Below are 17701 nucleotides of genomic sequence, written 5' to 3'. Positions count from 1 at the left end.
GAAGAATTTTAAGAGCCCTGGCTGGGCGCGGTGGCTCACGCCTGTAATCCCAGCACTTTGGGAGGCCGCGGCGGGCGGATCACGAGGTCAGGAGATCGAGACCACGGTGAAACCCCGTCTCTACTAAAAATACAAAACATTAGCTGGGCACAGTGGTGGGTGCCTGTAGTCCCAGCTACTCGGGAGGCTGAGGCAGGAGAATGGCGTGAACCCAGAAGGCGGAGCTTGCAGTGAGCCGAGATCGCGCCACTGCAGTCCTACCTGGGTGAAAGAGTGAGACTCCGTCTCAAAAAAAAAAAAAAAAAAAAGAACCCCAAGAATGGAACAATTGACTGGCCTGAGGGAGACAGCCAGGCAGACGGGATTCCATTTCCACCTCTGCTGTTGACTAGCAGAGAGATTTTGGCAAAGTTACTTAACCATTTAGACAGCAAGTTCTTGACCTAGGTACTAAGGATAAGAATACCTTCTGCACAAAATTGCCCTGAGGATTAAACAAGATGATAAATGCAAAGGACCCAGCAAAGTGCTTGTACTTAATTGGTGTCCAATACAGGTGCATTTCTTTTCTTTTCTTCTTCCTAGGAAGGTAAGAAGGGCTTTCACAAGGAAAAGTATTTGAGCTGAGCTTACTGACATGAAACCTTTGCCTTCTTACTCAGGGAGAAGAAACTAATGCTTGTAGAGTAGCTACTAGAAACAGGCACTCTCTTTGGGGTTTCCCAGAATGAAGAGGGGAAGAATATTCCATCAAAGAGAACAGTATAGGTAAAGGCAAAAGGCTTGGTAATATTTACTGTGCATCTTCCAGATGTGATGGGACAAGTGAACCCATGGGGGAGATGAAGCTGAAGAGGGAGACCTGAGCAGGATTGGATAACTGCAAAGTTCTTTGCCTCCCAATAGCTAGTGTTTGGAGTTTAAATGTCCAGCTAGCCCTGCAGAACCACAGACAAACTGTCTTTAGACCAAAGTTCTCACTGATCTGCAGGGTTTCAACCCTTAAGTGGAAGTATATCAATTACAAAGATCTAATCTCCTATCTAATTCCCAGGACTACACAGTAATTTCCCAAACATGGGCCTTAGTGCATAATTTATGCACTCACTTTGTAGCTTTGTAATTAAATCTGCAGAGGATTTGGAGCTACAGGGCAATGCTGGTACAACTCCCTGCATATGTAAATATACCAGGCTGGAGTATAGAATTGATGGTTTTGAACACATCCTTTTCCTACCTACACTGCTAATGACAGTGTTACAGCTGCAGTTAAGTGGGATGGATGCACTGAACAAATAAAAAATTAAAAAGCATGCTAACCAACCGATCCACATAATCCTTCCTGATCTGAATTCCTGTGACATTCAGGGTCTGTACCATCCACAACAGCTTTCTGATATCTATTATGTATGTCCTGAACTGTTCCCTGGGAGGTCTCGTGAACTAAATCTGATATTTATCAAGTGTTTACTATACCCTGACACTATGTTAGTAATTTCACATTCATCTTATTGAGTTCTTATTCTGTGCCAAGTGCTCTAGTTACACTGTGGAAAACAAATCGGACTTGGTTTCTGATGTTATGCAACTTCTAAGTACCTCAAGTAATCCTTATAATAACCCTTCAAGACCAAAATTTTACAAAGAGGGAAATGAGAACTAGATGAGGTTAATACTTGGCCCCAAAGCTGACTTACCCATTAGGCACAGTAGGCACAGTGCTTAGGGCCCATAATACTTACAGGAGCCTAAGAAAACATGTTTTAATTTTAATTTCTTTTAAAACCAGAAGAAAAAAAGAACATAATAATAATGAATATATAATAATGAATCCAGCCTGTTTTGTGTTTGTCTTTATGCTGATGCAGTCATAAATATATCTTTAAATGCTTTTTTATGGAAGAAGGGGTCCATAAGGGCAAAAGTGCCTAGAGCCCACAAAAATCATGATATGGCCTCAATGAACTCAGGATCACGCAGTTGGTAAGAGACAGAACAAGGAGGCATACCCTCTAAGCCTGACATCTCTTTCATTAGACATATCTAGAGGATAACTACTGTGCTTTTATATCTCTCTTAGTGCTAGGTTCATAGGGGTAGCTCCATAGTTATTGAATTAAATCACATTGAGTTAACCCAAAGTGCTTTATATAGTGGTGCTACGGTTTGAATGTAAGTGTCCCTCCAAAATTCATATGTTGGAACTTAAAACACCAAGGTGATGGTTTTGAGATGAAATGGGGCCTTTGGGAGGTGATTAAGCCATAAGGGCCCTGCTCTAATAGGCAGGAATAATGCCCTTATAAAAGAAGCTTCAGAGAGCAGCCTGGTCCTTCCATCTATTCTGCCATGTGAAGACACAATGTCCATCCCTTTTTGCCTCCTTCTTCCAGGTGAGGACACAGCAAGAGGCACCACCTTGGAAGCAGACAGCTTTCAGAGAGGAGTTGACACCTTGATCTTGGACGTCCCAGCCTCCAGAACTGTGAGAAATAAATTTCTGTTCTTTATAAATTTCCCAGTCTTAGGTACTTTGTTATAGTAGCACAAATGGACTAAGACAAGTGAATAATTAATAATATATTCTTACAGATTGAATAAAACCCTGTGGATGCTGCAAATATCACATGGATTTTTTTCATCTGAAAAATAGAACTGAAAATAAAGTCTACACATTTTATCAGCTTGTAGAATTTTTGGATCAAAAGATTAAAACAGATATTGTTGCTTACAAATAAAGATGCTTATTTTTTACTACATATTAGACTTATGACAAATCTCTGATCTAAGCATGATATTCTAAAAAGTAATATAAATATGTATATAATAATTTTTTTAAAATTCATCTATTCATTTAACATTCACTGTGCTAGGGACTTAGAATATAAAAACAAAGAAGCCACTGTGCTCACTGCCCTTGAGGAGCACATGGTAAACTCAATCTATCCTTTCACAGAAAATGAACAGACTCCATGGGAATGTAACCAAAATAGTACAAGCGATTCCAGCTTACCAGAATTTAAACATAATACAATTTCTCACAAGGGCTAACACATTATGAACATAACAGTGCTTGTTATAACAGAAGTCATTGGTGTTTTGTTTTTTGTTTTAGAGATGAGGTCTCAGTCTGTCACTGAGCCTGGAGTGCAGTGGTGTAATCATAGCTCACTGCAGCCTCGACCTCCTGGGCTGAAGTGATCTTCCAACCTCATCCTCTTGAGCAGCTAGGACTACAGTCATGCAGCACCATGCTGAGCTAAGTTGCTAGTATTAAAGGAGCATTCCTAATGTTCTAATGTTCATCATGTCACACTTTTTTTTTTTTTTTTTTGAGACAGAGTCTCACCTGTTGCCCAGGCTGGAGTGCAATGGCACGATCTTGGCTCACTGCAACCTCTGTCTCCTGGGTTCAAGTGATTCTCCTGCCTCAGCCTCCTGAGTAGCTGGGATTACAGGGGTGCGCCACCATGCCCGGCTAATTTTTGTATTCTTAATAGAGACTGGGTTTCGCCATGTTGGCCAGGCTGGTCTCGAACTCCTGACCTCAGGTGATCTGCCTGCCTCAGCCTCCCAAAGTGCTAGGATTACAGGCGTGAGCCACCGTGCCCAGCCCATGTCACACTCCTTTTAAAACTGCACCCAACTAGTGCCTAGAGCAGCCATTCCCAACTAGTTGTCGAATTAGCATATGTGTGTGCGCGGGCACACACACACACACACCAGGAGAGATTTGGTAATGTCTGGAGACATTTTTAGTTGTCACAACTGTCAGGGGTTGGGGAGTGCTACTTACATCTGATGAGTCAAAGCCAGAGACACTGCTAAGCATCCTACAATACAGCGGACAGCCCTCTACCCCCACCCCACTACCACCACACACAGAATTATCTGGCCCCAAATGTCAATAGTGCTGATATTGAAAAACTCTGGCCCAGAGGAACTAAATCCAAACTCCTCCAGTTGGCATTCAAGGCCTGGGCCAATTCGGCCCTGTTCCCCCTTTTCTCTTTATCTCCCTCTGCCTTGTTCTCTGGATGCTCCATCTTCCCAGGAACCTTATGTTCCAGCTCTATCAGACCATCACAAAATGAAAGAGTGATTAAGCACTTGGTCTCTGAAGTCAGACAGACCTGGCTGTGTATCTTGACTTTACTACTTGTCAGTTGTATATCCTCCATCTTAGAGACTCAGTTCCTTCTTCTGTAAAATGAGGAAAACAATAGTTGTTTATATTGAGAGAACTCTATGAGGTGATACAAGTAAAGTCATTTCACAATATCTGGTACATCTCTCTGCCTCTGTGCTTTTGCTGTTCTTGCATTTATTAGGGCACCAAAACCAGGCTTCTTTCATCCTAAATTAGTTGCCTAAAGGTCCATGTCCCTAACTGGCCTGAGAATTCCTGGAGAGCAAGGATTGGGTCCTATCTGTTTTTGTTTCCTCAGAACTTGGCATAGCACCCTGCACATAGTAGGTGATTAGTAAATATTAGTTGAATTGCAATTTTGACACTCCCTTTAAGAGAAGACCACCCTGCCAATGGGCAAACAACCTAGAATTCTAAAGGAGGCTCTTATTTTTAGAGCCAGTCATTGTTTTCCTTGCTGCTTCCATTTTCTCTGCCCAACTCTCAGGGCTCGGGTTCTCTTCGTCAGTTCTGGGTACTTGGCATGCATGGTTCTTGGCCAATTGCTCCTCTCTCTTAAAGATCTCATCTAGCTATGTGGCTTAAAATACCACTTATATACCTCCAAATTTATATTTGTAGCCAAGACCTCTTCTGTGGGATTATATTGTGTGTATATATATATGTGTGTGTGTATATATATATATACAATCTATCCTTTGTGTGTGTGTGTATATACACACACACACACACACACACACACACACACACACATATATATATATATACACACATATATTCCATAGGACTCTGATTGATGCAGGTTAATATATTTTAACTGTGTACTTGACATCCCGATTGATTATACACCGACATCCCAACTTAGCACACAGCAGCTAAAGTGACCTTTTAAAAATATAATTCTGATTATGTCACTCCCTTTAAAGGCTTCCCACTACACCAGTTATAAATCCTACCCATGGCTTATATCATGAGAAGTCTTGACTCCATCCTTTCTCCAGCCTCACCTCCTTCCTCACTGTGCTTAAGCCACATTGGCTTTCTTTCTGATGCTCAAATGTGACAAACTCATCCTCCTTCTCAGAGCCTTTGCACTTGTTGCCTCTTCTTGGAACACTTGCCCCAGATGAATACATGGCAACCAAAGTGTCACCTCAAGGAGGACCTCCCTGACCCCCTTTCCTCTCCCAGCATGAAAGCTTTCTCCATCTCTCTCTAAGTCATTGCCTTGTTTTATTGCTTCCTTTATGAGACTCTGTGTCCCCTACTGGAAAGGTAGCTCCATGGGAGCAGGAGACTTGCCAGTCTTGTTCTCCACTGTATCTTCAGTCCTAGCCCAGTGCCTGGCATATAGGAGGACCTTAATAAATAGATATTGGATTTTTTTTTTCTTTTTTGAGATGGAGTCTCGCTCTGTCACCCAGGATGGAGTGCAGTGGCACGATCTCAGCTCACTGCAACCTCCGCCTCCCGGGTTCAAGCAATTCTCCTGCCTCAGCCTCCTGAATAGCTGGGATTACAGGCACATGCCACCATGCCTGGCTAATTTTTGTATTTTTAGTAGGGATGGGGTTTCACCATGTTGGTCAGGCTGGTCTTTTTTTTTTTTTTTTTTTGCGACAAGAGTTTCACTCTTCTCGCCTAGGCTGGAGTGCAGTGGCGTGCTCTCGGCTCGCTGCAACCTCCACCTCCTGGGTTCAAGTGATTCTCCTGCCTCAGCCTCTCAAGTAGCTAGTATTACAGGTGTGATCCACCACACCTGGCTAATTTTGTATTTTTAGTAGAGACGGGGTTTCACCATGTTGGTCAGGCTGGTGTTGTACTCTTCAGGTGGTGATCCATTCACCTCAGCTTCCCAAAGTGCTGGGATTACAGGCATGAGCCACTGTGCCTGGCCTTTTTTTTTTTTTTTTTTTTTGAGACAGCGTCTCACTCTGTTGCCCAGACTGGAGTGCAGTAGCAGAATCTTGGCTTACTGCAACATTTACCTCCCAGGCTCAAGAAATTCTCCTGCTTCAGCCTCCCCAAGTAGCTGGGATTATAGTCGCCCGCCACCATGCCCGGCTAATTTTTGTATTTCTTAGTAGAGATGGGGTTTCACCATGTTGGCCAGGCTGATCTCAAACTCCTGGCCTCAGGTGATCCACCCACTTCGGCCTCCCAAAGTGCTGGAGTTACAGGCGTGAGGCACCATGCCTGGCCTGATAAATAGATATTGAATAGATGAATGAAGTTAAACGAAAGTGTAGTGAAGGCACTGGAATGAGAAGGCCTGGTTTCTAGCCCCTATTCCATCTCTGTGTGACCTTGGGAAGCTACTTTGTCTCTTAGAATCTCAGTTTGTTCATCTGTAAGGCGAGCATGATAACACCCTCCTCACACTAGTGTGAGGATTAAATGATACGCCTCTTAAGAGCCTGGTGCAGTGCTTAGCACATAATACAATAATCAACAAATGCTGGTGCTTTTTTCCCTCTTTGAGCCTCATTTTCCTCACAATAGGGTAAATAACATTGATTGTACAGTATGGAGTTGTTGTAGAAATGACATGAATTTACAAGTCTTTCGCTTCTCTGGCCTTTGCCCATGGTCTTCTCTCTGCTCCTCCTCCTCCCTCCCCCATTTCTTCCTCCCTGGTTAGCCTCAGTTGTCACTTTCTTCAGGAAGCCTTCCCTGAGACCCCATGCTGGATCAAAGCCTCTTCTGGGCCCCCTCAGGCCCTGCATTTCTGTTAAAATAAACAGATATCATCGTGGTTTCTTCATAGGCCCAGTGGATGGATGGATGAATGGAAGGATGGATGGATGGAAGGATAGAAGGATAGAGGGAAGGGAGGATGGAGGGACAGAGAGATGACGAACGGAATCAAGTGAGAGCGACTTCAACCAGCTCCACAAAGTCGAGCACCCCAGAGGCAAGCCTCAGCTGCCCATTCCACTCCCTAACTCCTAGAGACCCTCCCCTGCCGCTCCCTTAACACCTGGTTGGCCCCCATTAGCTCCTCAGTCCTCCGGCGCTCTCAGCGGTGGTGCCCTGGGATTTGTCCTCATTATTCTCACTACCCCCAGGCCTCGAATGGAGGGCAGCCAGGTGTGGGGATGCAGGTGATCTCAGCCCCCGCCCCTGGGTCAAGGTAGAAGTGGCAGCAGTGGGGCCGAACTCCTGGCGAGGGTAGCAATGTTCCAAGGCTGGGACTCGAGGTTCCGCAGGATGAAGGGGCTGCAGCTGCTGCCACTGCTGCTGGTGACCTGCACCCTGGGAACGTGCGCCCAGCGCTGGGTCTACCTGCGCGAGGAGTTCAAAGACGGGGGTAAGCAGTTCGGTGCCTGGCAGGCAGCGACTATAGAACAGACTCCACGCCCTTGCCTGTCACCTGTCCCAGCGGTCAGGCAGGCCGACTTTCCCGGTTTGGAGCCCGTTTAGAGAGAGAAAGACTACAGCTGAAATCCCTACTCGCTACCTCCTAGCTGTGTGACACTGGGCAGGTAGCTTACTAAGTCTGCATTTCAATTTCTTTCTCTATTAAATGAGGACAATACGGATCTTGCAAGATTGTTCAGAGTGTTAAATTAGGTAAGGTGAGTAAAGCATTGTCCCTAGCATATAGTTGGAGCACACAGTTGGCATGCAGTAAACGTTTGTTCCTTCTCCTTCATCTCAAAAACACAAATGGGTGAACCCTGGAGGAAAAAGGGGGTCATTGATTGTGATTGTGAAATTTTCTGTTTCTTTTTTTTCTTTTTTCTTTTCTGTTTCTTTCTTTTTTATTTTTTTTGAGATGGAGTCTCACTCCGTCACCTAGGCTGGAGTGCAATGGCATGATCTCGGCTCACTGCAACCTCTGCCTCCCAGGTTCAAGTGATTATCCTGCCTCAGCCTCTTGAGTAGCTGGTGCCCGCCACCACGCCCGGCTATTTATTTATTTATTTATTTTTTATTTTTAGTAGAGACAGGGTTTCACCATGTTGGTCAGGTTTGTCTCGAACTCCTGACCTCAGGTGATCCACACACCTCGGCCTCCCAAAGTGCTGGGGTTACAGGCGTGAGCCACTGCGCCTAGCCAAATTTTCTGTGTTTCATAAAATATCAGAGTTCAGAGGATCTTGGGGGTCATCTTGTCCAGTCTCTTCCCTAGAATGCCTCATGAACTTCAGAGAATTATGGAAGGGCTTACTTACCTAAGGACAAATGTTCAATAGTACTGTTTCAGCCCACTAACAAATGATGCTCTTCGTGTGTGTGTGTGTGTGTGTGTGTGTGTGTGTGTGTGTGAAATCTGATTAATTATTTGAGGGTGCAGTAGATAGGGCACTTGCTGGGGAACTGGGATGTTTTGGATTTGAGTCCACATTCCACCATGGATCCCTGGATAAGCCTTTTCCCATTTCTGAGACTCAAATTCCCAATCTTACTTACCTAAAGACAAATGTTCAATGGTACAGATACTGGTGATACAAGTAATACTGTTTTGAGGGTAGCAAGGTATAGAGGTGCTACAGAGGAAGGTGGGAATAAGCCCAGGCAAAAGGCCTGGACAGGAAAGCTTCAGGGAGAAGGCGAAACTTAAGCAATGTTTCGAAGGATAAGTCAGTTTATCAGATGGGCAGAGAAGGGGAGAAGGGTATTCCAGGTAAGAAGAACAGCATGTACAATGATACAGCCAGCAGTGGCATCTTCAGGGAACAGGAAAGTGTGAAGGGGAGGGGAGTTAGGGTGAGGCTGGAGAGCAGGTGGGGCATATACCAAGGGGGTTAGGGAGCCTGACCTTTTGCTGAAGGCAGTGGGAAACTAGTGAAGGTGATAAGTGGGGAGAAATAAGATCTGACCTGGGTATTAGAAAGAGTGCTTCAGAAAGTAAGTGGACCTGGATTGTGAGGCTGACTGAAGTTGAGTTTGGAGACAGAAAAACCATCCAGGAGGCTATTGTAATCTTTTTTCCCCACTATTTATTTATTTCCATTTATTTCTCTCTCCCTCTCTCTCTCATTTTCCCCCTCTTCATGGTGAAAAGTAGAGAGGCTGTACCAGAGTAGTAGTGATAGGAATACAGGGGAGGGGGCAGACAGGAAAAATGTTCAGGAGTTGGCTGAAAAGTGGGATGCAAAAAGCCCCTCAGCTTCACTGTAACAAAGCACAATCCTTTTCCAAGGATAGGTTCAAGGTCCCCTACTTCCTGATGGATTTCAGCCATCCTTTGTAATGAGCCCTTTGAGGCTAATCTTGTGACTGCTAGCTTGAGGGCCCATTTCCCTGCCCCAGCTGGCTTTTACTCACACCATAATCCCTCCCAGTAGAAGGCAGGGAGAACATGCACAGACCTGCCATCATTCCCTCAAGGACTGAACTCCACTTGTCCAATGGGGGAGTAAATGCTCAAATGCCCAAGGGTATTATCAATAAATATTTAGGAAATGCTCTGGAATCAGGAAAAGAGAGGCTTCAAGCCCCAGGCAGTTGATGAAGCCAAAATCAGGAACACAATCCAGCACTATGTCCAGGAAGGTTTGGTCTGCACGACCTCACCTCTTCCAGGAAGACTTGCCTAGGCTTCCCCTAGTTCTCTTAGCCCCTGTGCTTCTTGTGTGTCAGCCCTGCTCACACAATGACTGTCTATTTACCTTATTTTCTTTTGTTTCCAGCCCAGTAAACAATTATTGGATGGCTGAATTATTGGACTGAATCTTGACACATACACCAAAAAGTAACACCCCAAGAAGAGAATTGTTATTACAAGAAATCTTCCTACATTAAGACTTAGCAACGGCCGGGCACAGTGGCTCACGCCTGTAATCCCAGCACTTTGGGAGGCCGAGATGGGCAGATCACGAGGTCCGGAGATCGAGACCATCCTGGCTAACACGGTGAAACCCTGTCTCTACTAAAAAATACAAAAAATTAGCCGGGTGTGGTGGCGGGCGCCTGTAGTCCCAGCTACTCGGGAGGCTGGGGCAGGAGAATCGCTTGAACCTGTGAGGCGGAGCTTGCAGTGAGCCGAGATTGCGCCACTGCACTCCAGCCTGGGCGACAGAGCGAGACTCCGTCTCAAAAAAAAAAAAAAAAAAAAAAAAGCCTTAGCAACAAGTAATCGTTGAGGTCAGGTGCCTACTTTGAAGAAATCAACCCAAAATGCAATTATTATGTTGAGTGAAGAAAGGTCAGAGAGATGTGCAGAAGGGCTGATTCTGCTCACTGATTGAGGAGGGTTGGCTACGGGGGTCCAGGGTTCTGAGGCTTATCCTCAGCTTAGAGGACCGAGAAGTCCAGTGTTAGGGTACTCAGAACTGGGAAGGTTTAGGCACTGACTTGTTCTATCCAAACTCATAAGAGGCATATATATTAGCGAGATACCAATATTTCTCTTTTTTTTCTCTCTCTCTCTGTCTCTTTCTTTCAGTCTTGCTCTGTTGCCCAGGCTGGAGTGCAGTGGCATGATCTCAGCTCACTGCAACCTCCACCTCCAGGATTCAAGCAATTCTTCTGCCTCAGCTCCCGAGTAGCTGGGATTACAGGTGTGCACCACCTCACTTAATTTGGTAGAGATGGGGTTTCACCATGTTGGCCACGCTGCTTTTGAACTCCTGATCTCAAGTGATCTGCCCGCCTTGGCTTCCCAAAGAGTTGGGATTACAGGCGTGAGCCACTGTGCCCGGCAAGATACCAATATTTATCAAGCATCTTAGACTTCACATGTCTAAGACAAAACTTTTATGTGCTCCTCCAGACTTATTCTATTTCCCCCGGTGTTCTCTATCTTAGTAAATGGCTTAACCATTCATCTGGTTGTTTAGGTCAAAAATTAAAGAGTGGGCAGGGGTGGTGGCTCACGCCTGTAATCCTAGTGTTTTGGGAGGCTGAAGTGGCAGGATTGCCTGAAGCCAGGGGTTTGAGACCAGCCTGAGCAACATAGTGAGACCTCGTCTCTATTAAAAATTAATTAATTAAAAAATTAGCCAGGCATGGGCCCGGCACGGTGGCTCACGCCTGTAATCCCAGCACTTTGGGAGGCCGAGGTGGGCAGATCACGAGGTCAGGAGATTGAGATCATCCTGGCTAACATGGTGAAACCCCATCTCTACTAAAAATACAAAAAATTAGCTGGGCTTGGTGGCAGGCGCCTGTATTCCCAGCTACTCGGGAGGCTGAGGCAGGAGAATGGTGTGAACCTGGGAGGCAGAACTTGCAGTGAGCAGAGATCGCGCCACTGCACTCCAGCCTGGGCGACAGAGCGAGACTCCGTCTCAAAAAAAAAAAAAAAAAAAATTAGCCAGGCATGGTGGCATGTGCCTGTAGTCCCAGCTACCTGGGAGGCTGAGACAAGAGGATTGTGTGAACCCAGAAGTTTGAGGTTATAGTGACCTATGATCGTGCCACTGCACTTCAGCCTGGGCAACAAAGAGAGACCCTGTCTCGGAAAAAAAAAATTAAGAATCATCTTTGATTCTTTTATTTCCCTCATCTTCTTTATTTAATCCATCAGCAAGTTTAATTGAGTGTACCTTCAAAACATAATCCTAAACGTGACTTTTTTTTTCTTTTTTTTCTTTTTTTTTTTTTTTTGAGACGGAGTCTCACTCTGTCGCCCAGGCTGGAGTGCAATGGCGCGATCTCGGCTCAATGCAAGCTCCGCCCCCTGGGTTCACGCCATTCTCCTGCCTCAGCCTCCCGAGTAGCTGGGAATACAGGTGCCCGCCACTACGCCCGGCTAATTTTTTGTATATTTAGTAGAGACGGGGTTTCACCGTGTTAGCCAGGATGGTCTCGATCTCCTGACCTCGTGATCCACCCGCCTTGGCCTCCCAAAGTGCTGGGATTACAGGCTTGAGCCACCGCGCCCGGCCACGTGATTTTTTTTTTTACCTCCTGTATTGCTACCGACCTAGCCCAAGCCACTATCATCTCTCAGGTGGACTACTGCAGTAATTTGAATGGCCTCTGCTTCTGTTTCTGCTTTCCCTTTGTCTTTTCTCATATAAATTTCAGAATGACTTTTTTGAAATGTAAATCAGATTGTATCATTCTGGAACTTTAAAAACCTCCACTGCCTATTAGGTTTAAAATAAAACCCAATCTTCTTACCATGACCCACAAGAGCTTCCATGATCTAGTCCCTGCCTACCTCTCTCTTTTTTTTTTTTTTTTTTTTTGAGACGGAGTCTCACACTGTTCCCTGGGCTGGAGTGCAGGGGCGCAACCTCAGCTCACTGCAACCTCCGCCTCCCAGGTTCAAGCAATTCTCCTGCCTCAGCCTCCCAAGTAGGTGGGATTACAGGCACCTGCCACCACGCCCAGCTAATTATTTTTATTTTTAGTAGAGATGGGGTTTCACTATGTTGGCCAGGCTGGTCTTGAATGCCTGACCTCGCGATCCACCTGCTTCGGCCTCCCAAAGTGCTGGGATTACAGGCATAAGCCACCATGCCCGGCCCCTGCCTACCTCTCTTATCTCCTGCTTGTTCATTATGTTCCAGCCACATTGGCTTTCTTGTTGTTTCTCAGACTTCAACCCCATCTCAGGGCCTTTGCACTTGCTGTGATTTCTGCCTGGAATATTCTTCTCTTAGATATTCATATGGTTTGCTCCTTCTCATCATTCAGGTTTCTGCTTAAATGTTTTCTTCTTAGAGGGGATTTTCTTGTTTGCCCTATCAAATATTATTCCCCTGTATACGGTTATACTCTATCCCTCTATGTAACTTAATTTTAAAAAATGAACTTTTTAAGATATAATGTACATGTAACAAAATGCACTCAATTAATGTGCATTATTCATTGAATTTTGAAAAATGTAGGCCAGGCGTGGTGGCTCACGCCTGTAATCCCAGCATTTTGGGAAACTGAGGCAGGCAGATCGCCTGATCTCAGCAGTTCAAGATCAGCCTGGGCAACATGGCAAAACCCTGCTTCTACAAAAAATACAAAAATTAGCTGTGCATGGTGGCGTGCACCTGTGGTCCCAGCTACTTGGGAGGCTGAAGTGAGAGAATCACTTGAGCCCGGGAGTTCAAGGCTGCAGTGAGTTGAGATCGTGCCACTGCACTCCAGCCTGGGTGACAGAGGGAGACCCTGTCTTAAAAAAAAAAAGAAAAGAAAAGAAAAAGAAAAATGTATACACCTGTGTGACCACTGCCACAATCAATATATAGAACACTTCCATCACCCCAAAAAGTTCCCATGTAAGCCTTTGCATGCTTACTATCTCTCTCTGTCTCTCCGTTTTTCTCTCTCCTCACTGTTAGATTCACTTCCTGAGAGCACAGTGCTTCTCTGCTGTCTTCACTGCTATAGCTTCAGAAACTAGAAAAGTGCCTGGATCAGGCACATAGTAGGTGCTCAATAATTTTTTGTTGACAAAGAATGAATTGCCCTGGGAAATTATCCTTTTCAGAGATCCAAATGCTCATATGAGCCAAGGCAAACCCTTCCTGGTTATCAGAGACCCAGGAAACCAAGTTCAATGAGTCTGAATTTTATCTTATTGAATGCTTATTGTGTACCAGCGAGTCTTTTTCTTTTTTCTTTTGTTTTTGAGACAGGATTTCACTCTGTCACCCAGGCTGGAGTGCAGTGGTGCTGTCATGGCTCACTGCAGCCTCCACCTCCTGAGCTCAAGTGACCATCCCACTTCAGCCCCTGAGTAGTTAAAATCACAGGTGCACACCCAGCTAATTTTTTAATTTTTAGTAGAGACAGGGGTCTTGCTATGTGGCCCAGACTGGTCTTGAACTCCTGGGCTCAAGCAATTCTCCTGCTTTGGCTTCCCAATGTGCTGAGATTGTTGTTATTATTATTTTTTTGAGACAGAGTTTTGCTCTTGTTGCCCAGGCTGGAGTGCAATGGCATGATCTCAGCTCACTGCAACTTCAGCCTCCGAGGTTCAAGCAATTCTCCTGCCTCAGCCTCCCGAGTAGCTGGGATTACAGGCATGCGCCGCCATGCCTGGCTAATTTTGTATTTTTAGTAGAGATGGGGTTTCTCCATGTTGGTCAGGCTGGTCTCGAACTCCTGACCTCAGGTGACCTGCCCACCTCGGCCTCCCAAAGTGCTGGGATTACAGGCATGAGCCACCATGCTTGGCCGAATTTTTTTCTGTATACATAATTTTACTGAATTTCTCACCAGTTCTATAAGGAAGATCCTATTATTCACTCTTTCAGTGATGAGGAAACAGGTTCAGAGAGGTTGGGTGATTTTCCCAAGGTTGTACAGCTAATGTCAAAAGCAGTTGGGAAGCCAAGGAGGGGAACATCTGGAAAGCATTCATTGCATTTGACAGTTAGGAAGACCATTTGACAACTCAGTGGAGTGGTGAGGCGGAAGCCTCACTACCTTAGGTTGAAGGGTAGAGGGGAGCTGAGGAAATGAATACAGCAGGGTTGGGTTACATTTTGGAGAATTCTGGCTGAGAGGGAAGTAGAGAAGAGCGCAAGTAAGTAATTTAGAATACAAAGTGCACATGCAAGGTTTGGATGACACAAGGTGGGGGTTTTGCAGAAAGGTAAACAGGCAAGGGGGTTGAGAAGAGCGAGCAAGTTGATGGATCTCCACCTCTTTTCACTTTACAACCCCTGTACCTGGTAAAGTACCTGGCACACAGGAAGTGTTACAAGTTTGAAGGAAGAAGGAAGGAAGGACTGTGAGAGTTAGGCAGAAAGAAGCCAAGTGACTAAAAAGAAATGGGATGGGAAGTGTCAAAGAACAGATGCAGTTCAAGTAACACAGTGTGAGAATTGGAGGATAGGAGGCCATGGTCATGGAGGTGGGTGGAAATGGGTGTTCGAGTTTCAGATTTCTTCTTCTTCTTTTTTTTATTTTGAGACGGAGTCTGGCTCTGTCACCCAGGCTGGAGTGCAGTGGCACGATCTCAGCTCACTGCAACCTCCGCCTTCTGTGTTCAAACAATTCTCCCACCTCAGCCTCCTGAGGAGCTGGAAGCACAGGCACATGCCACCACGCCTAGCTAATTTTTGTATTTTTAGTAGAGATGGGGTTTCTCATGTTGGCCAGGCCAGTCTCGAACTCCTGACCTCAACTGATCTGTCCACCTCGGCCTCCCAAAGTGCTGGGATTACAGGCATGAGGCACTTTGGAGTTTGAAATTTCAAAGCAGTTTCTGCTGATGACAAGGCCTAGGGTGTGAATGTAGTGACAAATGGCTAACCTGGAGTAGAAGTAGAGATGAGGAAACTGAGAGGCTAGGATGGGCTGTCCTATCGACATCACCTGGATGATGATGGACCTGAGTAGAGAGGAAAACTGTGACCAGGGTGCCAGTTTGCAGTAAGTGATGGGAGGGACTTGGAGTGGTGACTGATCAGGGCAAGAAAGCAATAACATGAGTGACAGCATGGAAGATTCCACCAGTAGTCCCTTACCTGCAATCTGTAAGAGCTTCCCACCACAGCCCTGGGACCAGCCACCCCAAGGGGCCTCAGCCTCGTGGACTGGGGCAAAACATTAGCCTCTGCTGCTTCCATTGTGACCCGCACCTGGGGCCTGGCTGGTAGGATTGTGAGTATAGCCTTTCTAAGCCACAGTATGCAATTCTGGCCAAAGCCTTAAAATTGTACATATCCTTTTCCTAGGTAATTCCCTTCCTAGGATTTCTTTTTCCTCTCAAGAAATAATCAGAAATGTGAGCAATACTTTATGCATATGTAACATATAAATCATGTGAGCATTATTTGTAATTGGAAACATTTGGAGACAAACCTAAATGCCCAACAGTAAGGGCTCAATTTAGTAAAGTATGATATATCCATAGAATGTTTGGGAAGTTTTTAATGTCATGGGGAAATGTTTATGACCTAATGTCTTGAAAAATTTACAAAATTATATATATAGTCACTGTAAAATATATTTGTGCATAAAAAAAGAATAGAAGAAAATGTACCAAAATGGTAAATAATGGAATTTCAGATTAGTTTAATTTTTTCATTATTTTCTACAATGAACTTGTGTTACCCTTTTAATTTATTATTATTATTATTATTAATTTATTTTTTTGAGACACAGTCTCACTCTGTTGCCCAGGCTGGAGTGCAGTGGCACGATCTCGGCTCACTGCAACCTCTGCCTCCTGGGTTTAAGTGATTCTCATGCCTCAGCCTCCTGAGTAGCTGTGATTACAGGTGTGCGCCACCTATGCCCGGCTAATTTTTGTATCATTAGTAGACACTGGGTTTTGCTACGTTGGCCAGGCTGGCCTTAAACTCCTGACCTCAAGTGATTCACCTGCCTCAGCCTCCCAAAGTGCTGGGATTACAAGTGCGAGTCACCGCTCCTGGCCATTACCCTTTTAATTAAAAAAAAAAAACTATTAAAAATTAAGAGAACTGTTTGCTCTTTCCAGTTCTTGGAGTTAAATTTTCTGCTTTTGAACTTTATTTATTTATTTATTTTTTGAGATGGAGTCTCGCTCTGTTGCCTAGGCTGGAGCGCAGTGGCACGATCTCAGCTCACTGCAACCTCCACTTCCCGGGTTCAAGCAATTCTCCTGCCTCAGCCTCCTGAGTAGCTGGGATTACAGGTGCGCACCACCACGCAGGGCCAATTTTTGTATTTTTAGTAGAGACAGGGTTTCACCATGTTGGTCAGGCTGGTCTCGAACTCCTGACCTTGTGATCTGCCTTCCTCGGCCTCCCAAAATGCTGAGATTACATGCATGAGCCACTGCGCCTGGCTGAACTTTATTTTTGATATCTAACCTGTACCTGATGCCTTAAGTAACCTTTATTAAGCATAGTCTTAGCCACTAAGCATGATGCTTTACACACTCCAATCCTCATCTCAGCTCTGCAAAGTAATTATTATTTTCCTAATCTACAGATGGTAAAACTGAAGCCCAGAGAAGTCAACTAATTTGAGGTCACATAGCTGCTGAGTGGTAAAGCAGGGTTTGAATCAGGTCTGAATTTTTTTTTCTTGCATTATTCCTGCTACCCACCCCACTGCCTTCCACAAGTCCAATAAGTTGAGGGCCTTCTGACTTTTTTTTTTTTTTTAAGAGATGGGGCCTCACTCTGTCACCAGGCTTGGAGTGCAGTGGCATGATGATAGCTTATGGCAGCCTCGAACTCCTGGGCTGAAGTGATCCTCCCACCTCAGCCTCTTGAGTAGCTGAGACTATAGGTGTGCACCACTGCACATGGCTAGCTCACATTATAAGTAGTGCTTAGCACCCTCCAGAAAGGTAAATCTTAGATTCTTCGAATGGCAGAACTGAAAGCCTCCTGAGAGCTCATCTAACCCCAAATGCCCACCTTTTCCCCATTTACAGGTGAGAAATCTGAGATCCAGAAGGGAACATGACATGCTAGGGGCATTTAAGGGATTTGTAACAGAGATTGATTCAGGGTCCTTTCTTTCTGCTGTTTTCCCAGACTACAGAGCAACACAGCAACCAGAGGATGTGCAAGGGCTTTATTTTTTAATTTTAATTTAATTTTATTTTATTTTATTTTGAGACGGAGTCTTGCTTTTATCGCCCAGGCTGGAGTGCAATGGCGCGATCTCGGCTCACTGCAACCTCTGCCTCACAGGTTCAAGCGATTC

At 45.1% G+C, this 17701-nt stretch overlaps 1 protein-coding gene across 4 annotated transcripts in view; it reads right to left on the bottom strand.

The window, feature by feature from the left end:
- The window catches only part of OSBPL9 (oxysterol binding protein like 9), a 270948-nt gene that overhangs the window by 186893 nt on the left and 66354 nt on the right, over nt 1–17701 (bottom strand). The gene's annotated exons all lie outside the window — the stretch shown is intronic.

Source organism: Homo sapiens, chromosome 1, assembly GCF_000001405.40.
Source record: "Homo sapiens chromosome 1, GRCh38.p14 Primary Assembly".
Taxonomy (NCBI): Eukaryota; Metazoa; Chordata; class Mammalia; order Primates; family Hominidae; genus Homo; species Homo sapiens.
Note: the sequence above shows the minus strand (reverse complement) of the source record. Positions and strands in the feature narration are given on the sequence as shown.